General features: G+C 52.3%; 1 protein-coding gene and 1 long non-coding RNA gene across 9 annotated transcripts in view, besides 10 other annotated features; one reads left to right on the top strand and one right to left on the bottom strand.

The window, feature by feature from the left end:
• Positions 1-204: 204 nt before the first annotated feature.
• The window catches only part of BCAS4 (breast carcinoma amplified sequence 4), an 87,783-nt gene continuing 62,175 nt past the window's right edge, over positions 205-25,812 (bottom strand). For 3 of the 5 annotated variants that reach the window (XM_011528886.3, NM_001010974.2, NM_198799.4), the window contains one exon: positions 5,704-6,395. Coding sequence is in view for 4 of the 5 variants with exons in the window: in NM_001010974.2 (NP_001010974.1) it covers positions 6,273-6,395 (123 nt within the window). In the remaining variant the exon portion in view is untranslated. Of the gene's footprint in view, positions 5,468-5,703; positions 6,396-6,787; positions 6,885-25,812 lie in introns of those variants that run through there. The other 2 variants (XM_011528887.3, NM_017843.4) reach the window with 2 other exon arrangements.
• Positions 2,500-2,999: an enhancer, noted in NCBI's record as "H3K4me1 hESC enhancer chr20:49496419-49496918 (GRCh37/hg19 assembly coordinates)". NCBI's record gives its function as "activates a minimal SCP1, AML or CMV promoter by ChIP-STARR-seq in naive H9 embryonic stem cells {active_cell/tissue: H9 hESC(naive)}" and the evidence as "EXISTENCE:reporter gene assay evidence [ECO:0000049][PMID:30033119]".
• Positions 3,000-3,501: an enhancer, noted in NCBI's record as "H3K4me1 hESC enhancer chr20:49495917-49496418 (GRCh37/hg19 assembly coordinates)". NCBI's record gives its function as "activates a minimal SCP1, AML or CMV promoter by ChIP-STARR-seq in naive and primed H9 embryonic stem cells {active_cell/tissue: H9 hESC(naive and primed)}" and the evidence as "EXISTENCE:reporter gene assay evidence [ECO:0000049][PMID:30033119]".
• Positions 6,160-6,740: an enhancer, noted in NCBI's record as "H3K4me1 hESC enhancer chr20:49492678-49493258 (GRCh37/hg19 assembly coordinates)". NCBI's record gives its function as "activates a minimal SCP1, AML or CMV promoter by ChIP-STARR-seq in primed H9 embryonic stem cells {active_cell/tissue: H9 hESC(primed)}" and the evidence as "EXISTENCE:reporter gene assay evidence [ECO:0000049][PMID:30033119]".
• Positions 6,870-16,389, top strand: LOC124904929 (uncharacterized). Of its 4 annotated transcripts, XR_007067648.1 has the most exons (3): positions 8,514-8,541; positions 8,965-10,094; positions 11,035-12,827. It is a non-coding gene; the product is annotated as an uncharacterized LOC124904929 (long non-coding RNA). The 4 variants fall into 4 exon arrangements; XR_007067647.1 differs by lacking the exon at positions 11,035-12,827 and adding an exon at positions 15,845-16,389 and having other exon boundaries at positions 6,870-10,094; XR_007067646.1 differs by having other exon boundaries at positions 6,870-10,094; positions 11,155-12,827.
• Positions 7,268-7,979: an enhancer, noted in NCBI's record as "H3K4me1 hESC enhancer chr20:49491439-49492150 (GRCh37/hg19 assembly coordinates)". NCBI's record gives its function as "activates a minimal SCP1, AML or CMV promoter by ChIP-STARR-seq in primed H9 embryonic stem cells {active_cell/tissue: H9 hESC(primed)}" and the evidence as "EXISTENCE:reporter gene assay evidence [ECO:0000049][PMID:30033119]".
• Positions 10,121-10,833: an enhancer, noted in NCBI's record as "H3K27ac-H3K4me1 hESC enhancer chr20:49488585-49489297 (GRCh37/hg19 assembly coordinates)". NCBI's record gives its function as "activates a minimal SCP1, AML or CMV promoter by ChIP-STARR-seq in naive H9 embryonic stem cells {active_cell/tissue: H9 hESC(naive)}" and the evidence as "EXISTENCE:reporter gene assay evidence [ECO:0000049][PMID:30033119]".
• Positions 11,548-12,260: an enhancer, noted in NCBI's record as "H3K27ac-H3K4me1 hESC enhancer chr20:49487158-49487870 (GRCh37/hg19 assembly coordinates)". NCBI's record gives its function as "activates a minimal SCP1, AML or CMV promoter by ChIP-STARR-seq in naive H9 embryonic stem cells {active_cell/tissue: H9 hESC(naive)}" and the evidence as "EXISTENCE:reporter gene assay evidence [ECO:0000049][PMID:30033119]".
• Positions 12,261-12,974: an enhancer, noted in NCBI's record as "H3K27ac-H3K4me1 hESC enhancer chr20:49486444-49487157 (GRCh37/hg19 assembly coordinates)". NCBI's record gives its function as "activates a minimal SCP1, AML or CMV promoter by ChIP-STARR-seq in naive H9 embryonic stem cells {active_cell/tissue: H9 hESC(naive)}" and the evidence as "EXISTENCE:reporter gene assay evidence [ECO:0000049][PMID:30033119]".
• Positions 18,640-19,386: an enhancer, noted in NCBI's record as "H3K4me1 hESC enhancer chr20:49480032-49480778 (GRCh37/hg19 assembly coordinates)". NCBI's record gives its function as "activates a minimal SCP1, AML or CMV promoter by ChIP-STARR-seq in primed H9 embryonic stem cells {active_cell/tissue: H9 hESC(primed)}" and the evidence as "EXISTENCE:reporter gene assay evidence [ECO:0000049][PMID:30033119]".
• Positions 19,738-20,330: an enhancer, noted in NCBI's record as "H3K27ac-H3K4me1 hESC enhancer chr20:49479088-49479680 (GRCh37/hg19 assembly coordinates)". NCBI's record gives its function as "activates a minimal SCP1, AML or CMV promoter by ChIP-STARR-seq in naive H9 embryonic stem cells {active_cell/tissue: H9 hESC(naive)}" and the evidence as "EXISTENCE:reporter gene assay evidence [ECO:0000049][PMID:30033119]".
• Positions 21,514-22,035: an enhancer, noted in NCBI's record as "H3K4me1 hESC enhancer chr20:49477383-49477904 (GRCh37/hg19 assembly coordinates)". NCBI's record gives its function as "activates a minimal SCP1, AML or CMV promoter by ChIP-STARR-seq in naive and primed H9 embryonic stem cells {active_cell/tissue: H9 hESC(naive and primed)}" and the evidence as "EXISTENCE:reporter gene assay evidence [ECO:0000049][PMID:30033119]".

The raw sequence follows: 25,812 nt of genomic DNA, 5'->3' as shown, positions 1-25,812 counted from the left end.
CAAATGCAAATGCCCACAGGGGCTAGGCAAGTGAAATAAATTAGTGAAATAATTTGAGTATAAGAAAAGCCTGGAGACCAGGACCCCCCCCTCCAAAGCAACTTGACTTTATGTAGCTCATTGTTTAAAATTAGAATATCTGGCACTAAAAACAGTGGGCTCACATTCTTAAGGCAACAAGCAAACAAACAGGAAATTCAGTTCTTTATATGCATTCTCCTAATTTTTAATTGGTGGCAACTGATTTTAACCATTTTTTTGAATAGGCAAACACCAAAATATCAAAACTTTTAAAGAACAGTGAAAAGGATACCTCTCACCCCAGATATCCACCATTCTCAAATTTGTGTTTATCCTTCCAGAGAATAGTAATGTCTTTTTCACATAGATAATAGCATACCACATATATTTTTCTGCATTTGGCTTTCATATCTTGGCGATGTTTCCACACCAATTCATAAAGAACTCTTAACCCATTTTTACAACATTATAGTATTCCATCATATGGTTGGGCTATAAAGGAATAAAACCCAGATCAATAATCACTTGGGTTCTTTCTAATCTTTTGCTGTCTCACTGTGCAGTGACTAACCTTGTACATTTATCTTTTCTTTCTTGTGTGTGTAAGCTGGATTCCTAGGGGTGGAATTACTGGGTCTGAGGACATTTCCCCCCGCAACCCCCCCTTTTTTTTTTAAGAGATTGGGTTTTGCTTTGTCATCCAGGCTGGAGTGCAGTGGCATGATCACGGCTTACTGCAGCCTCAACCTCCTGGGCTCACTCAAGCGATCCTGCTGCCGCAGCCTACTGAGTAGCTAGGACCATTTCTAATTTTGTTAGGTATGCCAATTGCCCCCCCATGAGAATGGTGTCCCACCATCAATGTACAAGAATATGTTTCTTCAAAATATCACCAGCAAGACCAGGCACAGTGGCTCAAGCCTGTAATTCCAGCACTTTAGGAGGCTGAGGCAGGTGGATCACTTGAGGCCAGGAGTTTGAGACCAGCCTGGCCAACATGGCAAAACCCCATCTTTACTAAAAACACAAAAATTAGCTGGGCATGGTGGTGCGCACCTGTAATCCCAGCTACTTGGGTGCCTGAGGTGGGAGGATCATTTGAGCCCAGGAGGCAGGGGTTGCAGTGAGCTGAGATCACACCACTGCACTCCAGCCTGGGCAACAGAGCAGACTCTGTCTCAAAAAAAAAAAAAAATTCAATAGTGTCATCAAAAATTTTAATCCTTGCCAGCCTGAAATGTGAAAAATCTCAGGGTATTTTTCCATACTTATTGGCATACATTAAGGTTGAGTATCTTTTCATGTTTTGCATTTTCTGTGAAACTCCTGTTCATAGCCTTTGCCTGTTTTGCTACTGTTTCCCTTTTTTGTAGGTGACATTTTTTAGGGAGATTATCCCTTTGTAGCATGAGATGCAAATATATTTTCCCAATTTGTCATCTATCTTTTGAATTTGCTTAGGATTTTGTTGTTTTGGGATTTTTTGGTTGAGTTTTCCGTTGGTTTTGCCATGCAGAAGTTTAAAAATTTTATATAATCAAATTGACCTCTTTTATGGCTTCTCGATTTTGTACACTTCGCCAATGTTTTTAACCTATTTCTTCAATAGATTCGTTTTATTTTACTTTCTAAGACAGGGTAACACTTTGTCACCCAGGCTGGAGTGCAGTGGCACAATCTCAGCTCACTGCAGCCTCAAGTTCCCTGGCTCGAGCAATCTTCCCACCTCCCACCAAGTAGCTGGGTCTATAGGCAAGCACCACCATGCCTGGCTAATTTTTCTATTTTTTACAGAGAAGGGGTTTTGCTATGTTGCCCATGCTGGTCTTGAACTCCTGAGCTCAAGCGATCCACCCACCTTGGCCTCCCAAAGTGGTAGGATTCAGGTGTGAGCCACTGCACCCGGCCAATAGATTCATTTTATACATTAAGCTCCTAATCGATTTACAATCCAGGTGTGCTGAGTGAGGTATGGAGCTCTATTTTTTCCAGAAGTTTACCCAATTGTCACAACATGAAAACATCTTAAAACAATTCAGGGCAAACCACACATTTCTGCCAATCAGATACAACCCCATGGGCTGCTACCTTGAAACCTCTTGCTTTGGTGAGCACGAAGTTCACATCCGCTGGGAAAGTGGGAAAGGGGGTTGACCGAAGAGCCTTGCTCTTGGGAAGAAATCTGCAGTGACCTTTCTACTGGTGTCCCTGTCCAACATCAGCCACAAAAGAAAAAGACTGGCAGGCCTCGGTGGCTCACGACTGTAATCCCAATACTTTGGGTGGCCAAGGTAGGAGGATCGCTTGAGCCCAGGAGGTTGAGACTAGCCTGGACAACATAGCAAAACCCCGTCTCTGTTTAAAAAAGAGAAAGATCAGATCACCCTTTCCTAGGCTGCAGTTACCCTTACCAAGGGGTTAGAGGCCATCAATAGTCAGCAACCGAGGACATCATTGACTGGACAATGGAAATGTCAGGCACTTTGCTTTAATGAGGACGCACATGAAGTCACCTGGCACAGGGACAGTGGAGCCGCTCAGAGGACTGAGGTTAGGGGTTGGTGATGGCAGGGCGCAGTGTCCCGGCCTTCCTTCTCCCCAGATGTTTCCAAGCGTCCCTTAAAGCTCATTGTTTGGCAGTGCAAATCCTAGGAACTTTGGAACGGCTACTTCCAGTTCACTTGTCACCTTTTCCCCATAGATTTCCTGTGCAACCTCACCCCTCCTAACAGGACAGGGAAACCCAGAGAGAGCAGCCTCCATTCTCCCATGACTTCTAACTCTGACACGTAAGGGCAGTCCCTGAGTCACTCGCTGTTCAGGCCCTCGGATGCCGCTGGTCAACTGAGAAACGCAGGACAATCAACCCTTTCCCCATCACAGCCCGGGCCCTGCAACAGCAGCCTCCCATTACTGAGAGCCCCTCGCCAGTGTGCCCAGCATGCACACAGCTCACCTCATGTCACCCTCACCACAACCCATCAGACCAGAGCCATCCTCATGTCTTACCGCAGGGGCAGCTGGACTCAGAGAGAGCAAGTGAAAAGCCCAGCTCACACAGCTAAGAGGCATGGGAGCGGACAGTGCTGCCAGGCAGGCTAACCTCAGGGCCATGCTCCTAGCGTGGGGCCTGTGGGTCCCTGCTTTAGGACACTCAACGTTGCTGCGGCTTAATCACATGGGATTTCCTTCCAACTCTCCCTGGCCCCTGTTTCAGGGGCTGGGAGGAGAAAGAAGCCTGGGAGTGCCCAACACTCAGCAGATACTCACCCTTCCGGAAATGAGTGTCCTCAACTGCTTGTCTAAAAAATTAACATTAGCTTTCTCCTTTTTCTTCTTTTTTGAGATAGGGTCTCGCTCTGTTGCCCAGGCTGGAGTGCAGTGGCACGATCTTGGCTTGCTGCAACCTCCACCTCCCAGATTCGAGCGATTCTCCTGCCTCAGCCTCCCGAGTAGGTGGGATTACAGGGGTGCACCACAGCACCTGGCTAATTTTTGTATTTTTAGTAGAGATGAGGTTTCACTATGTTGGCCAGGCTGGTCTCGAATTCCTGACCTCAAGTGATCTGCCCACCTTGGCCTCCCAAAGTGCTGGGATTACAGGCGTGAGCCACCTCACCCGGCCAACTTTCCATCCAACGTGTGCTCTCCCTGAGCACACTGGGGCATGCAGAGTGTCCAAGCTCCCTTCGATAAAAACAGTCCCAGCCAATACAACACAGCCATGGGAATGATCTACAGTGACACAGCAACAGTGACACCTCCCAAGGTAACATCAAGCCGGTGAGGCCAGAGACAAGAGATGACACACCGTAGGTACACATCCCGTGTGTCCTCTCTTTATACAGAGCACAGAAACAAGAAACTCCAGTCCATATGGTTAGATGTCAGTATGCTGTCAGCCTGGGGTGGGGGTGGGTATGGGCATGGACCAGAAGCGGGCATGAGGGGGCTGCTCAGTGCTGATAATGTTGGTTGCTCAGTCTGGTGAGGCTTAAATAGATACACTCAGTTTGTGAAAAATTTAGTGAACCACTTAGGCACCCCTTTCTGTAATATAAATTATACTTCAATAAAGGTTTGTGCCAACACTACATTTTGGGAGGCCGAAACAGGAGGGTCCCCTGAGCCCAGAAGTTCAAGACCAGCCTGAACAACATAGGGAGACCCTGTCTCTACAAAAAATAAAACAAATTTGAAAAGTTGCCAGGCATGGTGGTGCACATTTGTGGTCCCAGCTACTTGGGAGGCTGAGGCAGGAGGATCACTTGAGCCCAGGAGCTTGAGGTTTCAGGGAGCCATGATCACACCACTGCACTCCAGGCTGGGTGACAGGTGTCTCATTTAAAGAAAAAAAAAATTGTAAAAGTCACCTCAATAAAAAAATGCTGACCGGGCATGGTGGCTCACACCTGTAATCCCAGCACCTTGGGAGGCCAAAGTAGGAGGATCACCTGAGGTCAGGAGTTCGAGACCAGCCTGACCAACATGGCGAAACCCCGTCTCTACTAAAAATACAAAAATTAGCTGGGCGTGGTGGTGTGCTCCCGTAATCCCAGCTTCCTGGGAGGCTGAGGCAGGAAAATAGCTTGAACTCGGGAGGCGGAGGTTGCAGTGAGCTGAGATCATGCCACCGCACTACAGCCTGGGTGACAGAGTGAGACTCCATCTCGAAAAAAAAGAAAAGAGAATAAAAATGCTGACTTTTCCAGAAACAAGGGGTCTACCTATATCTCTGAATTCCAAAAATTGTCTAAACTATTTCCCTGCTTTTCTGTTTTTAATTTTTAAAAACATTTTTAGCCAAGATCTCACTTGGTTACCCAGGCTAGAGTGCAGTGGCACAATCATGGCTCACTGCAGCCTCAACCTCCCAGGCTCAAGCAATCCTCCCACCTCAGCCTCCCAAGTAGCTGGGACCACAGATGTGCACCAGCACGCCAGGCTAATTTTTGTATTTTTGGTAGAGATATGGTCTCATTATGTTGCCCAGGCTGGTCTCAAACTCCTGGGCGATCTGCCTGCCTCGGCCTCCCAAAGTGCTGGGATCACAGACATGAGCCGCTGCACCTGGCCTCTACTCTATCTTGCCAGATTCATTATTTTAGGCTTCCTTGAAAAACTTTTTTGGGGTGTGGGGGACAGGGTCTTGCTCTGTTGCACATGCTAGGGTGCAGTAGAACAATCACGGCTCACTGCAGTCTTGACCCTGTGCATAAGCGACCCTCCTGCCTCAGCCTCCCAAGATGCTGGGATTACAGGCATGAGTCACCTTGCCCAGGCAGATTATCTTGAAATTCTAATGCAGATTTACAGTTCAGTCCTGTATGTGCATAGGGGAATTATGTGTGTGTTCTTGGCTCTTCGAGGAATTCCAGAAATACCCATTGCAGGTTGAAGCCACAGTGAGAAATCCGGAGTGTTAGGACAATAGCAGGAAACTCATCTGCATGGGAAGAAATGTGGGTAAACAAGCCTTTGAAGACCCTGGGGGTCCTAATGACCTCTGCACTCTTGCTGGAAATCCAAAGGCCGGGACTACCCCTCCCTCAGCTGGAGCCTCATCAGCAGGTGCCCAGGATCAGGCCCTCGCAGGTGAGGCACAGGAGGAACCTTCTAGAAAACACTGCACAGGTGAAAAGGAAACTATCACTCCCCGTCATTCTCACACCAGACCAGGGCTGAGCTCTTGACACCTTTATTGGAAGGATCCTCAAGGCTGTGGGCACCGAGGTCTGGAGGCAACAGAAGCAGCATCCACCCACCCACCACAGTGGCAGAGCACACCCCGTGCAAAAACCCATCACAGAGAGAAGGACCATGGAGCCCCTGCAAAGCCATCATGGAGAGAAGGAAAGTCCCCACTGTCCATCAGCCCCGGCCAGGCCTGGTCCCTCAACCCCTGTAGAACCCCAAGCAGGCCGATGTGGGAGGCATCACCACACGTGGGTTCCAACTGCTTCTCCAAACCCTGTGGTCTCACATGAGGCAGGGAGGAAATTTGAAAATGGCAGCAGCCTGGGCACGGAGGCTCCTGCCCATAATCCCACCACTTTGGAAGGCCAAGGTGGGTGGATCACTTGAGCCCAGGAGTTTGAGATCAGTCTGGACAACATAGTGAGACCCCATCTCGACATTTTTTTAAATATTTTTAAAATATAAAATAAACAGCAATACAAAGAAAAAACCCCCAAGCTGCAGTGTGTACACAATGTCACTTTCCAGCGTTCCTGATGGGAAGACCACAAAGCTCACAAAGGCCGAGGGCAGGTGCGGGGGTGGTGCTGTGCTTCCCCGGCGTCCACAGGAAAATAGTCCTCCGTCCTATACAGTGTGGGCAGCTCGTACGTCACGGGCACCGGTGCAGGTGACTTCTGGAATGACAAGAAATGAAGCTCTATCAGCGATTTGGATCCACTTGTTCCATGACCCAGGAATTCCCGGTCTACAAGTTCATCCTGCAGGACTCACACATATGACCAAAGACTCTGAGCTCCTCTGACAGCACTGCCTGTGACAGCCAAAGCCGGCCACCCAAAGGGACCAAGGCATCCATGTCAGGCCCTCTCCACAATGGAATACTCTGTAGGCATCAAGAAGAGCCAGGCAGCCCAGGCGCAGTGGCTCATGACTGTAATCCCAGCACTTTGGGAGGCCAAGGCAGGCGGATCACTTGAGGTCAAGAGTTTGAGGCCAGCCTGGCCAACACAGTCAAAGCCTGTCTCTACTAAAAATACAGAAATTAGCCGGGCATGGTAGCGCGCACCTGTAATCCCAGCTACTTGGGAGGCGGAGGCAGGAGAATCACTTGAACCCGGGAGGCGGAGGTTGCAGCGAGCTGGGATTGTGCCACTGCACTCCACCTAGAAAACAGAGTGAGACAATGTCTCGGGGAAGAAAAAAGAAAAAGCCAGGCAGATCAATATGTTCTGGCAGAGGAGGACTAAGAAAGCAAGGTGAGAAGGGTAGACATGTGACAAAGGGACCTATACCGACACGTGACAGCTCTGCAGGGCCATCTCAGAGCCTGGGTACAGTGGCTGTGGTTGGTGGCATGACTGATTTTTTTTTTTCTTTTGAGACGGAGTCTCGCTCTGTCACCCAGCCTGGAGTACAGTGGTGCCATCTTGGCTCACTGCAACATTCACCTCCTGGGTTCAAGCAATTCTCCTGCCTCAGTCTCCTGAGTTAACCGGGATTATAGGCGTGCACCACCACGCCCGGCTAATTTTTTTTCTTTTTTTTTTTTTTTTTTTTAGTAGAGATGAGGTTTTGCCATGTTGGTCAGGCTAGTCTCAAATTCCTGGCCTCCGGTGACTCGCCCGCCTCGGCCTCCCAAAGTGCTAGGATGACAGGCGTGAGCCACCGCGCCCGGCCAGGACTGATTTTTCTTCCACTGTGTACCCATCTGTGCTGCCTGGAGTTCCTGCCATAGGCATGTGCTACTCTTTCAAAAAACAAAACCATTTTAAGAAGTGCTTCCTCGTTTCTGGTGAGGATTTTTGTGGAGGGAGGCGGAGAAGGGGAGATTTCCCATCGAGCCGCTCACTGTGCGCTGGCTGGCGGGCTCCTGCAGGCTGCTGAGCATCTCCAGGAAAAACCAGGTCACCAAGAACCACCTGGAATGACGGCTGTCAAACCTGGCCATGCGCTGGAATCTCCTGGGAGTTTTATGAACTACTGATGCCCGGGGCCCACGCCAGGGGGTCAGATGTCTCTACTCGGGGGCGTGGCCTGGGTGTGGGACATTTCACAGCTCCCAGGTGATTCTCATGCAGAGTCCAGGTTGTAAGGACCACGGCCTGCACCAGAAGAAGGAGAGGGCTCCCGGGCTACTGCTCCTGGTTGGAGCCGGTGGAGATGAGCAAGGATGCATGGTCAAGGAGGACAGAGGGAGGGGACCTTCTCACCACCCCCTAACCCTGTCCCCCAGCTCCCTGCACTGTCTCGTCTCCTGGCCACCTCTGCCCACTCTGGCTGAGACCCAGTTCTGGCTACAGCTGAAAGCTGCGTGTCAGTACAGGGATGTGGGCTCCAGACTATGGCCAATGACAGCTTCCCCACTGCCAGACACCTCTGCAGGCCCCTCCCCATGCTGCCTGCTCCCCTTCCCTCCCCTCCCCCTGCACTTGACACCATGACCCCAGTGCAGAGGGGGAGATCAAGACTCAGGAGTTGCCCTGCCCCAAGTCACACATCCTCCAAGCATCTGTCCACCAGCCGGCAACTCACAGTGCACCAGGCCAGCCCTGTCCTGTGCACTGAGGACACAGCTGTGAACAAGACAACCATCCCAGCCCTCATGGGGCATGGCACTTAGTGGGGACACAAATGAACCAGGAGAAACAATGCCACCCTATGATGCGGGCTGATGGCAGGACAGGCACAAAGGCCTGGGGAACCCAGATGGGGCCTCAGCTCATCCTAGAGGGTTGGGGGAGTTTCCGGGTGCTGAGCCGTGTAGGACCTTCACAGCCTCAGCAGCAACTGGCCAGGAGTCAGGAGAACAGGGGTATAGAGGTACCAAGGGCCGGTGTTCCAGGCCGAGGGAACAGCCTGTGCTGAGTGGGTGGAGTGTGGGGGCTGCGGGGATCAGCGCGTAGACAGGGAGGAAGCCAGACAAAGGGCTGGGGTCCACCTGGGATCTTGCAAGCCAAGCTATGACCTTGATCCCATGAGCACTGAGGGCCTTTGCAGCTCGTAAGCAGGAGGCTGTGTGTGTGATGAGGTCTGCACTTCAGGAAGAGCAGGAGAGAGAATACACTCTAGGGGCGACAGTGGAGACAGCAGGAGGCTGTTTCATGTGTCCCCCAAAAGTGAGAGTGGCCAGGTAATCACGTCTGGGCTCCAGGGCCTTGACTTACCACCACATCACACCGAGCCTGTTGCAGAAGGGAACCATCAAAGGATCTTAAATAAGCTAAAACATGCTCTGACATCTAGGGATCTCATACCAGCCTGCGTCACCACCTTCACATCTGGAAAACCAGGACAAGTGACGCACCTGGCCAAGGGTGAACCTCAAACACGGCGAATGGAACGTTGTGCCCAGCCAATCCTCAGTCAGCCACTCTTGGCTCAGCCTGCTCAGGGGATGACTCGGGAGACAAGGTCTATTCCTGCCTGCCCCTCCTCTCCTAGCACGTTCCCCAGCTGCCCCTGCCTCTGTGGGTCAGTGGACACACGTCCCCCTGATGGCACTGCAATCAGAACACAAACAGGAGCTGAGCCACAAGATACATCTCCAGCCAGAGGGCTGCCGCTGGTGGGTAACCCACAGGTGTGGAATTTCACCTTCTTTCTTTTTAATGATGGCCTGAGATCTGGCTGTCATGATATCTAGAAAATGCAACATTCAAGTGAATCATGGGAGTTCAAAGACCGCCCCTCTCATCCTGACACATGACTAGGGGCCAAAGAGTGTTCTGTGATCTGAAAAGACACGGCCCTTCTTCTCCTGGTCCTGAGGACCCAGGCAAGGGTCAGTGACCAGGCCAGGCCAGAGCCAGTGTTCGGCCCAGCCAGGCGGCCTCTCCTAGGCCAGCTGGGCCTCATCCCAACCCCCTGTTCCTTTTTGAAATGGTTCTGTGCAGAGGGATGGAGTTTCTGTCTCCTCCCTCAAGGAGATGGATTCTAAAAATGGAGGAAAAATCAATATCATTATGAAGAAGCCAAGGAGAGGGAGTGGCGAGAGGCCGCCGGCAGCTCTAGATGTGATGGCGTCTTTAGGCCTGGAGAGAACTAATGTAAGAAACCCCCAACAATTGCATCCTTCCTGGTCACAGAGGGGAAAGGTCATCCCTGCATTTGGACAAGGGGGTCGCAGGGAGACAAGCTCTGTCGGTGTCTGGCCAAACGTCACAATGGATTATTGAACAGCTGCTTCCCGTGCACTCAGAAAGGAAGTCAATCACTAGGAGCCCCCAGGGGCTCCAAGGAGAACAAGCATGCTTTCCTTTTTCAGGAGGGCCACTGGCCTGGAAGACCAGACAGAAGGCTGCAGAGGCTGGTGCCGCTCCACATCCACTCAGGCCCAAGCCTGACACCTTGGAGGACACGCTGGAGACACGTGGGTGAGTAACCCACAGCTCTTTGGAGAACTGGGCTGAAGTCAGCCAGGCAGGGGCAGAGGGGCATGAGCCAGGAAGCTCAGGTGTTTCCTCTTCAGACCAAAACACAGTCTTGGAGAGTGGTGGGCATGGGTGGGCGCTGTTTCCGCCTGTCTGTCCATTTCCCCTTGGGGTGCTAGCATCTTGATTTTTTTCTTTTTTTTTTTTTGTTCCTTTTTTGAGATGGAGTCTCGCTCTGTCGCCCAGGCTGGAGTGCAGTGGCGTGATCTTGGCTAACTGCAAGCTCTGCCTCCTGGGTTCACGCCATTCTCCTGCCTCAGCCTCCAGAGTAGCTGAGACTACAGGCACCCGCCACCACGTCCAGCTAATTTTTTTGTATTTTTAGTAGAGATGGGGTTTCACTGTGTTAGCCAGGATGGTCTCAATCTCCTGACCTCGTGATCCACCCACCTCAGCCTCCCAAAGTGCTGGAATTACAGGCGTGAGCCACCATGCCCGGCCCCTCTTTTTTTTTTTTTTTTTTTTTGAGACAGAGTCTCGCTCTGTTGCCCAGGCTGGAATGCAATGGTGCAATCTTGGCTCACCGAAGCCTCTGCCTTCCGGGTTCAAGCGAGTCTCCTGCCTCAGCCTCCTGAGTAGCTGGGATTACTAAAGGCGCCCACCACCACAACCAGCTAATTTTTTTGTATTTTTGTAGAGATAGGGTTTCACCGTGTTGGCCAGGCTGGTCTTGAACTCCTGACCTCAAGTGATCTGTCTGCCTCGGCCTCCCAAAGTGTTGGGATTACAGGCGTGAGCCACCATGCCCGGCTGCATCTTGATTTTTCTAAGGGATCCCCTTGTGCCCAACTCCCCATCCGAGCAGCTCCCCACCTCCCCCACAGCTCAGGCTGGGGCCAAGAGCAGGCCTAGCCCATGTGAGCAGCTCACCCTCCACCCACAGAGATCAGTCCAGGAGTAAGCATGTGACAGGGCCACTGCGATTCTTGCTACTGGGACAGGGATGCTCTCCCCAGAGGTTCCTGGGAGTTCAGGTGACAGGCCACTCCTGCCACCCCACCAGGGGCCCGCCTGAGAATGAACCCCGCACAGAAGGATGCAGAGTTAGAAGACGCGGCAAGACAGAGTCCTGCCAATATCACTTGGAGCGCGTGAACCCTATTTTGCTGAAGGCTGGAGTTACCCTGGGGCTTTTCCTGTTCATGAGCCTCAAAATTCTCTTCTTTCTTTAAGCCACACTGACCAGGGTTGCTTGTAACTAAGAGTCCTGCCTGAAATAGATAATAAACCCCCAGGGGTGGCAGCAAGTGCTTTGAAACCAGCCGCCTGAATCAGCAGGTAAGGGCTGGTGTGTGAGGCTGAAAACAACCAGATGCCCGCAGGGCTGTCCGGCTGCAGACGCCCTGGCGGGTGGACAGGACCATTTCCCAGAGGCAGACCCCCTCACCGGCACACCCGCATGCCATGGAAACCACTTTCACACCCGTTCTCTCTTGGACTATCATGGCAGCCTGCAAGGGAGGAGTCGCTATGTCTCAGGGGTCCCGGGAGGGAGGGAGCACTGGAGCTGGGGTCCCCTCGGCCTGTCCAGCTCCAAGACCAGCCCTTGCCCATCGCCCTCTAGGGCTCCTTGAGGATGGAGCAGCAAACTCAAACCCTGGGGTTTTCACCTTTGAAAATCTCAGAGAAGACTTCAGAGCTCTCCACGTCCCACCTCTCGCCCTCCGGCTGGGAATGAGTCCCCGCTGGGGTCCAGGAGGTGCGTCCAACCCTTTGGAATCCAGCTCCCCACCCCCTCCTCCCGGGCCGCAGGCAGGAATGTTCTCTGCTCTGGGATAGGATAGGTCAAGACACAGAAACCTGACACGGCTGTGAGCTCCTCCGCAGCCCACCCCCAGCCCAAGGCCCGCCTCTGCCACAGGGAGTGCTGGGGCGCAGGGCCTGGCTGCTTTCAGAGTCTCCCCACACCCCCGCAGCTCCCTGCGTCCACCCTGCGCACCTGAGTTCCCAGACCTGCAGGGCACAGGCCAAATGCATGTGTGCTGGGTCGGCTTTGTGATTTTGTAAAAATGGAATTAACTGCAAACATGTAAAAATCAGATTTCCCGTGAAAAGCAGACTGCCGGTTTCTCTTGGAAAATCAGACCATTGGGCAACTCCGGGCCCACAGTCCCTCATGGCTGAGGGTGGCTGAGCTGAGGAGCCCCAGCCTGAGATCCCCACGGTTCCTGTAACCTGCTGCGTCTGGCCGAAGCCTCAGAGTTGGCCCCGGCAATCCGCAACACCCAGCAGCTCCGTTTCTCACAAAGACCCCAAATGGCTGTCACAGCACGTGACAGGGTGAAGCCTCAGGCCCCGGCTGGGTTCACAGCCTCTCCTCTGAAGCCCCCCAGTCAGAACAAGCTCTGCTCTAAAGCCAAGCCCACCACCTCAGGGCCTCCGTTTGCCCTGTGCTGCCCTGTTTCTACAAACCCGCCGCAGCCCCTCGCCAGTCTGGGCCCACCCGCATCTCCCTCTCGGGAAGCCCTAATCGCACATCCCTGACCCTGCCTGGTTTTTGGGTCAGGGTCAGCAAAATGTTTTCTGTAAAGAGCTAGATAGTAAATATTTTAGGCTTTGCAAACCACACAGTCTCTGTCACAACCACTCAACTCTGCCCAGGTAGTATAAATCCAGCCATAGATATGTAAACAGAAGGCATGGCTGTGTGCCAATAAAACTTTATTAGAAAAGCAATGGCAGGCTGGGTGTGATGGCTCATGCCTGTAATCCCAGCACTTCGGGAAGCTGAGGCAGGCAGATCACCTGAGGTCAGGAGTTCGAGACCAGCCTGGCCAACATGGTGAAATTCCATCTCTACTAAAAATACAAAAATTAGCTGGGTGTGGTGGCGGGTGCCTGTAATCCCAGCTACTTGGGAGGCTGAGGCAGGAGAATTGCTTGAACCTAGGAGGCAGAAGTTGCAGCGAGCTGAGATCACGCCACTGCACTCCAGCCTGGGCAACAGAGCGAGGCTCCATCTCAAAAAAAAAAAAAAAAAAAAAAAAGCAGTGCCAGGCCAGATTTGATCCCTAGACCATAGTTTGCCTCTGAATTCAATCTGTTCTCCCAAATAGAACAGGAACAACAAACCCTTCCCTATATCTCCCTTCCAAGTGAGCACTGAATAGTAGGTCATCAGACATGGCTACCCAGTTGCAAGGCCAGGCCCACCTCAGTGACTGTCCTTGGGCCTGACTTTTATGTGGTTGGCTGTTCTTGGGTGACCACTGCAGCCCCAGCCAGTCCTGGCTTGCCCAGAACAGGCAAGAGGCACAGGTCAACAGGGCTGCTGGGCCCAGCATCCTCCACCCCAAAAGGGGGGGTGGACACACTGTACCTGTACTCACAGGCTGGGATCCAAGGTTGTCCAGGGTCTGCCCCAGCCACCCACAGCCCCACCAGAGCCTGGGCCAGCCCCTCTGAGCCTGAAGCCTCAGGCCGGCCAAGTGGAGGAGCTCAGGTGCCTGCTGCTAGAGGCCCACCTTCATCCCCCAGGGCACTGGGCACCCCCAGTGCCAGGGAGCTTGAGAGAGGCCCATCCTACTGTGAAAACAACCATGCCTACTACACACCAGGTGACACTACTTCTAACCTCACAGCACTCTTTAAGGCAGGGTTTCTCATCCTCCTCTGCCTCACTTTCTTCCTCTACAAAACGGGGATAACGCCATCAGCTTCGCTGAGTCCTGCCTGGAGCATGGCAGTGAGGCTAGAGGTGCTGCAGCTACCTTGGGACCAGGAAGACAAAATCCACATGCTACGGATGGCAGAATAGCAGCCAGGAGAAGCCTGGGTCCCTGACTACTTCCTTGAGACGCCCTGTCAGCTCAACGGGCCACCTTAGTACTTCTTGTCACAAGTAGGAAAAAACACCAACCTATTTGCTCAAAGCACCAGGTGCAGCCTGTTGTATACATCCTCTTGTTCTCATGATCCCTCTGTTAATAGTGAGTCACCCAGGTCACACAGAGAGTAAATGTGCTGAGCTAGGACTCAAGCCCGGGTTATTTAGATAATGAAATGAAAGGATCAGGCTGAGCATGGCAGCCTGTAATCCTAGCCTTTGGGAGGCCAAGGTGGGAGGACTGCTTGAGTCCAAGAGTTCAAGGCCAGCCTAGGCAATAGAACGAGACCCCCATCTCTATAAAAACAAAAACATTAGCTGGTCATGGTGGCACACACCTGTAGTCCCAGCTACTCAGGAGGCCGAGGTGAGAGGATCGCTTGAGCCCTGGAGGTCGAGGCTGCAGTGAGCCGTGATTGTGCCACTGCACTATAGGCTGGGCAATAGAGCAAGACTCTGACTCAAAAAAAGAAAGAAAGAAAGGATCACCCAAGAATTGACAACTGCTAGATGCAAAAGCAAGCAGACAAGGAGAAGATACAAATCTCAAAATCGTTCCAAAACAATTCCAAATTGTTTGTCTGCATCTGCCCCTCCTCTCTTGAGTAGGGCTGCACTTAGTGACCTGCTTTCAAAGAGCAGGGTATGGAAAGTGGGGAAAGAAACTGCACAGTGGAGAAACCTGGCAAACGTCACTTCGGCCAGGTGACCCACGTCCAGCAGCATCAGTGCTGAGCCATGTTGAGTATCCTTGCTATGATGTGAAGGGCGCCTTACCTCTGCGGTCTTCCTCCCCCAAACCCACAGCCCTGGTCTAAGCATGAGAAAAACATCAGATAGGCCCTAATTAAAGGGTATTGTTCAAAATACCTACCCGATATTCTCAAAACTGTCAAGGTCATCAAAAACAAGGAAAGTCTGAGGCTGGGCGTGGTGGCTCATGCCTGTAATCCCATCACTTTGTGTGGGTGTTTTTGTTTGTTTGTTTTTGAGATGGAGTCTCTCTCTGTCATCCAGGCTGGGGTGCAGTGGCATGATCTTGGCTTGCTGCAACCTCTGCCTCCCGGGTTCAAATGATTCTCATGCCTCAGTTTCCCCAGTAGCTGGGATTACACGCGTGCGCCACCACACCTGGCTAATTTTTGTATTTTTAGTAGAGACAGGGTTTCACCATGTTGACTAGGCTGATCTCGAACTCCTGACCTCAAGTGATCTGCCCACCTTGGCCTCCCAAAGTGCTGGGGTTACAGGAGTGAGCCACCATGCCTGGCCAATCCCAGCACCTTGGGAGGCCAAGGCAGGAGGATCCCTTGAGTGCAGGGTTTCAAGACCAGCCTGGGCAACACAGGGAGACCCCATCTCTACAGACAAAACCCAAAACCCAAAAAAATTAGCTGGGCATGGTGGCATGCACCTGTAGTCCTAGGTACTTGAGAGGCTGAGGTGGGAGGATTGCTTGAGCTCTGGAGGTCAAGGCTGCAGTGAGCCATGATCTTGCCACTGCACTCCAGCCTGGGCAACAGAACGAGACCCTCTCTCAAACACAACAACAACAACAAAAGCCCAAGACCAAAAACACCAAACCAAACCAAAACAAAACAGGCAGGTCTGAGAAACTGTCATAGGCCAGAGGAGGCTGGGGAGACATGATGACTGAATGTAGTATGGGATCCCGGAACAGAAAAAGACTTTAGGGAAACAGAAGCAACTGTGGACTTGAGTTCATAATGTGTCAGTGTTGGTTCCTTAGCTGTGACAATGCACACAGTAAAATGTTAACAACAGAAGAAGCTGGCCAAGGAGTACAAAGAGAGTCTCTGTACTATCATAGCAACTTCGCTCTAATTCTATAATTTTTTTTTTAAAGTCAACAGAAGAAACAGATCAGTCTCACTCCATAAACCAAGCCCCAGCCTCTCTTAATTCAACCTCAGTGACCGAGAACGGAGCATTTACAGAGTGCCCGGCCCGCGATGGGACCTGAAAGGTCACAGAGCATTCATCCTCACAGCGGCTGAGAGAGGCAGGGAACCTCCATCTCACTTTGCAAAAGGGGAAACTGAGGCTCAGCGAGTCACTTGGCCATAACCACTCAGCTGGGAATTGGCAGAGCTAGGGTTTGACCCCAGGCCTGCCCAGCTCCAGCATCTGCACTGTCCCAGCACACAGGCACCCCCGGAGCTGTGTGGGGCTGGGGGTGAGCTCTCAGTCAGGAACCAGGATGTCCCTTCAGCATCTGCCCTCCAACCTCAGGACCCTCAGGGGTTGCCTGATCTGGCCCACTCAGAGAGCACAAACGGGTCACCTTTGGTCAGCATCCGGCTTGCAGACAAATTTAAAAATGAGTTCATTGCCAACAGTGAAGAACTGGGATGTTCAAATAAACATTGAGTGCCTATTTCTCTAGAAAAACTGAGCTATCTGGCCACCGCAGGCCCACATTCCTGCAGGGTGCAGTGAGCTGCCCCATCAGCCACGACATGCGCTGTCTGGTTTGTCACTGTCCCCGCCTGGCCTGCAGGACCTGTGAAGCCCTATGGGCATCCAAGCTGGCAGTGGCTCCAGGCTCACACCACCAGGCCAAGGCTCCGTAAGGCTGAAGAGGATGCCAGTGGAGAGGCCTCTGCTTACCCTGAGCCCTACAAGTAAGGGACTACTGACCTGGGGCCCCCACCACGGCCGGTGGCTGCTGTCCCTCCCCTGCTGTCTCCTCCAGTGCTTACAAGAGCCGTGAGTGAGGACCTGTGATGATGCCCACTGTACAGATGAGAAAGCGGGCTTGGAGAGAACAGGGCTAGGCCACGTGCCCAGGGTCCCAGCTGGTCAAAGGCTGAGGAGAGACTCAACTGGGCTCTTCTGAGCTCTTGGTGGCAGCCCCCACTACCGCCGGCCCCCAGGTCCTGTCCCCTAGGTCCTGGGTGCCCTGCTATGTCCTGGCTCCGGGCTTTCTGTACCTCAGCCTGTCCTGCCTGCAATGTTTGTGTCTGCTCCAGGGCCCTGAGTCTTCCAGAACACTCTGACAGCTGTGAGCAGAACCCCTCCCATTTCTCTGTGGGCAGCCCCTGCGTGTCCAGTCCTGCCCTTGGGGTTGGGCTGGACAGCCTTGCAGAGCTTGTGTGGGCACCGGCCCCTTCCCATCTGAATCCTCCTGCCCAGTCCAGCCCAGCCCTGACCCCAGCCTCTGCCGGCCCAGTGACCACAGCAGCTGGTGGACATGGGAGGCTGCCGAGGCCCTAGTGACAGAAGCACAGGGCTTGGGGCTGCTGGAGCTGGCAGCCGGTGTCCAGGGCGAGCCAGCAGCAGGGACAAGCTGGTGCAATCTTGTTAAGGTGATGCTGACCCTAGGGGGCAGCTCTGGAAGGTTCCTGGATTCCCACAGATTCTGCTTTTAGCTGGAGGAAAAGCGTTAACATGGAAACCAGCAGAGGAGTGGCCCCAGAAGTCTTGCCAAGCTGCTGGCTACTAAATCCAAGCTCACACACAGGGACAGCAGGTGGGGGGAGTCGGTGTCACGGCACCCTCCAAAACCAGGGCTCCATGGGGCACCAGCTCCTGATCGAGTCTGGTCCCTCCAAACTTGGCCAACAAACTCTGCTGTCCATGGGCCAAGTCCCCTCTTTCCTCCTGCCCCTCCCCATCCCTCTGTCCTAGAGTCCTGACTCCCTCCTTCAATTGATGGTTTGTGCCGGAGTCATCCTACTTGAGCACCAAGGCGCCTGGGCTTTGCTCCTGTCACATGGCCACTGACTGTAAGTGTCTCATCACCATAGACACACAAGTATATCTTTATTTTTATTTATTTATTTATTTTGAGATAGAGTCTTGCTCTGTCGCCCAGGCTGGAGTGCAGTGGTGCGATCTCGGCTCACTGCAACCTCCGCCTCCAGGGTTCAAGTAATTCTGCTGCCTCAGCCTCCAGAGTAGCTGGGATTACAGGCATGCGCCACCATGCCTGGCTAGTTTTATATTTTTAGTAGAGACGGGGTTTCACCATGTTGGCTAGGCTGGTCTCAAACTCCTGACCTCAAGTAATCTGCTTGCCTCGGCCTCCCAAAGTGCTGGAATTACAGGCATGAGCCACTGCGCCCAGCCAAAAAGTCATTTAAATATAAATAAAGCACACAGAAGGCGGCAGATGCAAAGTGCCGGGGGAATAACACAGACAACAATTGCTGTTAAATGGTATCAATAATGCTACTTTGAGAGGCCGAGGCGGGCAGATCACCTGAGGTCAGGAGTTAGAGATCAGCCTGGCCAACATGGCGAAACCCTGTCTCTACTAAAAATACAAAAAAAATTTAGCCAGGTATGGTGGCGTGCACCTGTAGTCCCAGCTACCCAGGAGGCTGAGGCAGGAGAATCTCTTGGACCTGGGAGGTGGAGGTTAGAGTGAGCTGAGATCACACCACTGCACTCCAGCCTGGGTGACAAAGAGAGACTCTGTCAAAAAAAAAAAAAAAAAAATCAATCATGATCAATAGTAAGGACAATAGCAGCTCCCCCTTACTCTATCTTGATGATCACACACAACAATCCTCTGCAGGGATATGAATGGTGATCCCATTTTATAGCCATGGAAACTAAGACTCAGTGGGGTTTAGGAACTCACTCCCCGGCGTGATGCTTGTACAACAGACCAGGCCGGCCTCTGGAGTGTGCAAACCCATGCAATCAGGCCCCGGGCGTGGGCTACCGCTCTGCTATCCCTGTCTTGAAGTTCTTAGTAAGTTTGACAAAGGGGCCCTGCCTTGGCATTTCAAACTGTCACCTGAGATCTGTGTGCCCTCAGGATGGTGTTCTTCATCCTGTGCTATCAGTCAAAAGGATGACTCGAGGAAGGCGCCACAGATGAGCCCTGGGCACGGAACAAGGGACAGCATGGTGCTGGCGCTCCTGGCTGAGAAAACACCATGGGGCAAAGGCCAGGGGTGGCAACGGTGGTAGAATTTGGGGGGGCACATGAGCAGATGGATTTGGCTGGAGCTGGGATTGACCCACTTGCAGGACAGAGCAGCAAATGGAAGAGTCCTTCGTAGCCCAGGGCAACAAACCAACAGCTGTGCCCAGTGGCCTCGCTGGGTTCAGGGGTCCCCCATCACACTGAGATCCACCTCCCCAAGGGAGGCAGCTTTAGGCCCAGACGCCTGCAGTCAGTGTCCAACCTCCAGATCCGTCCCCTTATCCCATACCAACAGCTGGCTACAGTCCGGCCACCAACTGCTGTCACATCAGAGTCATACATTTCTCACTTTGATGCTGAATTATCAATAGAATCCTTGAAGGTTTTGTTGGCCGGCCTGGAAGGTGGTTGGCTCCACAAAAAAGTATTGAAAATAGCACCAACTAGGCCGGGTGTGATGTCTCATGAATATAATTCCAGCACTTTAGGAGGCCGAGACAGGCGTATCGCTTGAGGTCAGGAGTTCAAGACCAGCCTGGCCAACATGGCGAAACCCCATCTCTATTAAAAATACAAAAAATAGCCAGGCATAGTGGCACGCACCTGTAATCCCAGCTACTGGGGAGGCTGAGGCAGGAGAATTGCTTGAACCCTGGAGGCAGAGGTTGTAGTGAGCCAAGACTGCACCACTGTACTCCAGCCTGGGTGACAGAGTGAGACTCCGTCTCAAAAAAAAAAAAAAAAAAAAAAAAAAAGCACCAGTTAGCTCTGGGAAGAAAACCTGACCTACCATGTTGTCAGGTTGCACAAATACTACTCTAAGGAGCCCAGTTCCTGATGCAGGCAGCTGTTATCCATTCAAAAAACAAGCCCTCGCCAGGCATGGTGGCTCATGCCTGTAATCCCAGCACTTTGGGAGGCAAGGCGGGCAGATCACTTGAGCTCAGGAGTTCGAGACCAGCCTGGCCAACATGGTAAAACTCCATCTCTACTAAAAATACAAAAATTAGCCTGGAATGGTGGCATGCGCCTATAATTCTAGCTACTCAGGAGGCTGAGGCACAAGAACCCGGGAGGTAGAAGTTGCAGTGAGCTGAGATTGTGCCACTGCATTCTAGCCTGGGTGACAGAGTGAGACTCTGCCTCAAAAACAAACAAACAAACAAAAAAAGCCCTGAGTGCAAAACGAGAGGCAGCCTGGAACCAGCAGGTGCTCAGATGCCTCCTCCAGGCCCCTGCCAGGCCTGGAGAAATTCCTTCCCTAGAGCTATGCCCCCTCCCTACAGAGAAGCACAGCCCAAGTGCAGCTGAAGGACCTGCTTCAGAGACAAGGCCTGGACTGTCCCCTGTGCCCCTTCTCCCCCATTCCAGGCCTCCAGGGAGCCCTGGCAGCCTCTTCTCAAACTCCCCCTTTCCTCAGACATGAGGTGTCCTTGGAGGTCTGGCTGTGCCCGTGCATCTCAGCCCAGGCCCGTCCTTCTCCCCGGCAGCACTGCCGGGCCTGCACATGCACCTGCGACCCCTCTCCTGCACTGTCCTTGCCTGATGAAGACATTTTCTTCCATCCAGGCCCCTGAGAGTGAAAAGGGATGGATGGTTTTCAAGGTCTGGGGAATAATTTTTAAGAGGGAGAGAAAGGAAAAGAGGGAGAGACGGAGACAGCACAGTGGAAACAGAGATGAACATCATGAGACAGGAGGAGACACAAAGGGAAACAAAAGGCGGCTTGAGAAAAACGTAAAAGAGAGCAAGTGCCAAAAACAAGAGGGCAGAATCCAGAGAGCGGAAACAGATGGAAAGGAGGGGAAAATGAGGGGAAGTGGGGAAGAGAGAAGGAAAACTAGAGGGATAAGGAGGAAAGAATGAGGCAAAAAGAGAGAGAGAGGCCAAGGCGGGAGGATAGCTTAAGCTCAGGAATTCAAGAATCCAGCCGGGCAACACAGCAAGACTCCTGTGTCTAGTAAAAATAAAAAATAAAATAAATTAGCCAAGCATGGTGGCATGTGCCTGTGGGCCCAGCTATGTGGGAGGCTGAGGCAGGAGGATCGTTTGAGTCTAGGAGGTGGAGGCTGCAGTGAGCCATGATTATGTCACTCCACTCCAGTCTGGGCAACAGAGCAAGAACCCGTATCTAAAAAAAAAAAAAAAAAAAAAAAAGGAGAAGAAGAAGAAAGAAAAGAAAGAAAGAAAGAAAAAGAAAAGAAAATATGAAGGAACAGCCTAGTGGCCCTGATGCAAACATGAAGCAGCCACATAGGGGGAGGGAAGCAGGGATGAGCGGCCAGGCTGGGGAAAGGGGCTGGAGCGGGGGGAGATGGGAAAGGGAGCTGGGGTAGTCGCTCCAAGGGTTCCAGGACTCTCTGCGCCCAAGCAAGGCAGGTCACCTGCCCCTGGCATGGACACACAAAACAACTGCACCCCCCTCACCTGCCAACCCCATCCCTCTGTGAAAGCTATGATATTCTAAATGTATAAAGGACATCTCAGAAGACAGGCCGTCCGTGCTGGACGGAGGCCATCTCGCCTTCAGGGAAACACCGCACCCTTGTCATTTCACTCACAGCTCCTGCAAAGCTCTGGTCCAGCCCCTCCACCCCAGGCCCACACTGTGGGCTCCACACGGTGCAGGCCCTGGAGCCCTCCACAGCTGCAAAGAGAGAAACGATAAGGGAATGAGATCCCGAGCCTGCTTCCTAGTCCATGCCCACACCGATGCTGCAGCTGGTCAGCCCCTCACCACGCAGGGAACTCGTCTGCCCCATTCGCTGCTGAACTCTTGGCCCAGGACAGCATCTGCCGCACAGGAGACGCCTAATCCATGTGAACTCAGACCTCCCACCTCTGGGCCTCCCGCTCCCAGGTGACTTCATTTGGCCTCATGGAGACACAATACTGGATGCCTCCAGTGCTGAACTCCACGCTCAAATCTCTAACTGCTGCTTGACCACCCCAGCAAATCCTGTTGGCTCTGCCTGCAAACGTATCCAGACTTTTTTTTTTTTTTTTCCAGAGACCGGGTCTTGCTCTGTCACCCAGGCTGAAGTGCAGTGGCACGATCACGGCTCACTGCAGCCTCAACCTCCTGGGCTCAAGTGACACACTCTTTGTCTTTTTCTTTTATTTATTTTTTTGAGATGGAGTCTCGCTATGTCGCCAGGCTCAAGGACAGTGGCATGATCTTGGCTCACTGCAACCTCCGCCACAGGTTCAAGCAATTCTCTTGCCTCAGCCTCCTGAGTAGCTGGGATTGCAGGTGTGTGCCTTCACACCTGGCTAATTTTTGTATTTTTAGTAGAGACGGGGTTTCGCCATGTTGGCCAGGCTGGTCTTGAACTCCTGACCTCAGGTGACCCACCCTCCTGGGCCTCCCAAAGTGCTGGGATTATAGGCGTGAGCCACCACGCCCGGCCCAGACTCTTAATTCATGTAGCAACTTGGACAAATCTCCAGGGAAGTATGTGAGTGAAAACAGCCAATCCCAAAGGGTCACAGACTGCACCGTTCCATTTATAGAACATTTTTGAAATGGCAAAATCTTAAAAATGGAGGGCAGATGAGTGGTAGCCAGGGGTTGGGCAGGGAGTTGGAGGACAGGAAGGGTTAGGGTGGTTATAAAGGACAGCACAGGGGACCTGGCGGGACCCTGCTCAGTGTCTTGGCTGATAGAAGTAAATTGTATGGAATGGGTACAAACCTACAGGACTTATGCCATATGCAAATGAGTCCAAGTCGGACTGGGGAGCTCTGCATGGGATCAGCAGGTCAGATTCATGTTGCTATCCTGGTTGGGATATTGTGCTATGGTTTTGAAGCATGTTACCACTGGGGACAACTGGGCACAGAAAGGGATCTCTCTGTGTTCTTTTTCCAGGCAGGATCTCACTCTGTCGCCCAGGCTATAGTGCAGTGGTGCAATCACAGCTCACTGCAGCCTCAACCTCCCAGGCCCAAGCAATCGTCCTACCTCAGCTTCCCAAATGCCTGGAACCCCAGACATATGCTACTATGCCCAACTAATTCTTTTCTTTTGAGATGGGGGTCTCCCTATGTTGCCCAGGCTGGTCTCGAAATCCTGGGTTCAAGCGATCCTCCCGCCTCAGCCTCCCAAAGTGTTGGGATTACAGGCGTGAGCCACCGCGTCCGGCCTCTCCATGTTATTTCTTGTAACCGAATGTGAATCTACAATGTTCTCAAAAGAAAATTTCAATTAACACGCACACACATCCAGAGTTGGCTACACCTCCCCACCTCCTCCTGCCCCCCTCAACCTGCGCCAGGCCACCAGCACGTCTCCTGGACCATTCCAGCGGCTCTAAGCTCCCTAAGCTCCACACCGCACACCTGGCATCTTCCCTCTACATGCAGCAGAGCGGTCCCAGTAAAACAAGGGCTGAGCAGGTCTCAGAGCCTCCAGGCTGAGCCTCCCACTGGCCCCAGAGCCTACTCCCTCCACTTCTTCCCTCCCCCAGAGCACCAGCCACCTGGCTCTCAAGTCACCTCCCCAGAGGCTCTCCCTGGCCCCTGTCTCCTCCTCCTCAGACACCTCTCCTTTCCCTTCCTTACAGGGCTCTCCCTGGGGCATATCACACACTAGGCCATCGCCAGGGCCAGGAGCAGGCGGCCTCTACTCCTTCCACGCCAAGGGTCTGAACAGTGCCTAGCTCACACAGGTGGTTCAAAGATAAGTGCAGTCGGCCCTCCACATCCGTGGGTTCCACATCCATGCGTTCAACCAACATGAATCAAAAATATTCAAAACCGAGGCTAGGCGTGGTCGCTCAAGCCTGTAATCTCAGCCCTTTGGGAGGTCAAGGCGGAAGGATCACTGGAGCCCAGGAGTTCAGACCAGCCTGGGCAACATAGCAAGACATTGTCTCTACATTAATAATAATAATAATAAATTAGCCGGGCATGGTGGCACACCTGTAGTCTCTCAGCTACTTGCGGGGGGCTGAGGTGGGAGGATTGCTTGAGCCCAGGAGGTCAAGGCTGCAGTGAGCTGAGATCTCACCACTGCACTCCAGCCTGGGTGACAGGGCAAGATTCTGTGTCACACAATAATAATAATAATAATAATAGCAAGAGCCTGTCTCTACAAAAAATACAAAAGTTAGCCAGGCGTGGTGGCACATCCCTGTAGTCCCAGCTACTCAGGAGGCTGAGGTGGTAGGATTGCTCGAGCCCAGAAGTTTGAGGCTGCAGTGAGCTATGATCTGTGTCACTGCATTCCAGCCTGGGCGAAAGAGTGACTGTCTCACCAAAAAAAAAAAAAAAAAAATTCAAGAAAAAAAAAAAAGGATGGTTGTATCTGTACTGAACATGTTCTGATTTTTGGTCATTATTCCCCAAACAATACAGTGTAACAGCTATCTATATAGCATTTACTTTGTTTTTTTGTTTTTGAGACAGAGTCTCACTCAGTCACCCAGGCTGGAGCACAATGGCGCGATCTTGGCTCACTGCAACCTCTGGCTCTTGGTTTCAAGTGATTCTCCTGCCTCACCCTCCCAAGTAGCTGAGATTACAGGCGCTTGCCACCATGCCCGGCTAATTTTTCTATTTTTAGTACAGACAGGGTTTCACCATGTTGGCCAGGCTGGTCTCAAACTCTTGACCTCAGATGATCCACCCACCTCGGCCTCCCAAAGTGCTGGGATTACAGGTGTGAGCCACCATGCCCGTCCAGCATTTACTTTGTATTAGGTATTATAAGTAATCTAGAGATGATTTAGAGTATATGGAAGGATGTATGTAAGTTATATGCAAATTCTCTCTATATATTCTCTGTATTAGAGACTCAAGCACCCATGGATTTTTGATAACTGAAAGGGGTTCCTGGAGCCAAGCCCCATGGATACCAGGGATTACTGTACTAACTTGAATGAATGAATGAATGAAGATGGGGTGGAGGTTTGGCAGCAGAGTTAAGCCTGGCCCAGGGGCTGGAGTTGCTAGTTCTTGGCAGCTCCCGGAGCAGACAAGCAGGCTAAGAGGGGACTGTGTGGGGACGGGATGGGCATGGAGGTGGATGGAAGGAAGCTCCAGGCAGCAACACTGTGGGGTGGTCTCCAGGCTCAAGAACCCTAGAGACAGAGGGAAAGAGGAGAACATCCTGCTGGCTGAGCCGCCCACCCTCACCCCACCATGGACATTCTCAACAGAACCAGAAATGGGGGACTGCTGATGGGGAATAACTCACTTCTCAGGGCACAAAGCCTTAGAGGCTTCCCACTACCTGCCCATTCCCTCAGTGAGACTCATGTTGCTTATGGGAATAAGGGTGGAAGTGGAGGTGGGGGTCACAGAGGACCTCGAATTTGCACTTTGACATCCCCCACCAAAGCCCCAGAGCTGCTAGCATTGAGAGCAGAGTCCCTTCATCCAGCGCAGTAAACTGTCCCATTTCCAAATCCCTCAGATGGCAGCGGTCCCCCTTCCTAGCTGTGTGACCTTGGCCAAGTTACTAACCTCTCTGTGCCTCTGTTTTCTCATCTAAAAATGGGGGCTAATAATTGCTCCTACCTCATAGGGCATTATGCTCATATAACGGAAAGTGCTTAGAAAATAGCGTTCAGCTGGGTGAGGTGGCTCAAGCCTGTAATCCCAGCACTTTGGGAGGCTGAGGCAGGCGGATCACCTGAGGTCCGGAGTTCAAGACCAGTCTGACCAGCATGGAGAAACCCCGTCTCCACTAAAAATACAAAATTAGCCAGGTGTGGTGGCGCATGCCTGTAATCCCAGCTACTCGGGAGGCTGGGGCAGGAAAATTGCTTGAACCCGGGAGGCCCAGGTTGCGGTGAGCTGAGATCGCGCCATTGCACTCCGGCCTGGGCAACAAGAGCGAAACTCTGTCTCAAAAAAAAGGAAGAAAATACTGCTCAATGAGTGAAGGCTCATTTCATTCTGAACAGGGCTCCCTGAATTCATATGCTTCT

Source organism: Homo sapiens, chromosome 20 (genome assembly GCF_000001405.40).
Source record: "Homo sapiens chromosome 20, GRCh38.p14 Primary Assembly".
Taxonomy (NCBI): Eukaryota; Metazoa; Chordata; class Mammalia; order Primates; family Hominidae; genus Homo; species Homo sapiens.
This window is presented reverse-complemented; position numbering and strand designations above follow the sequence as displayed.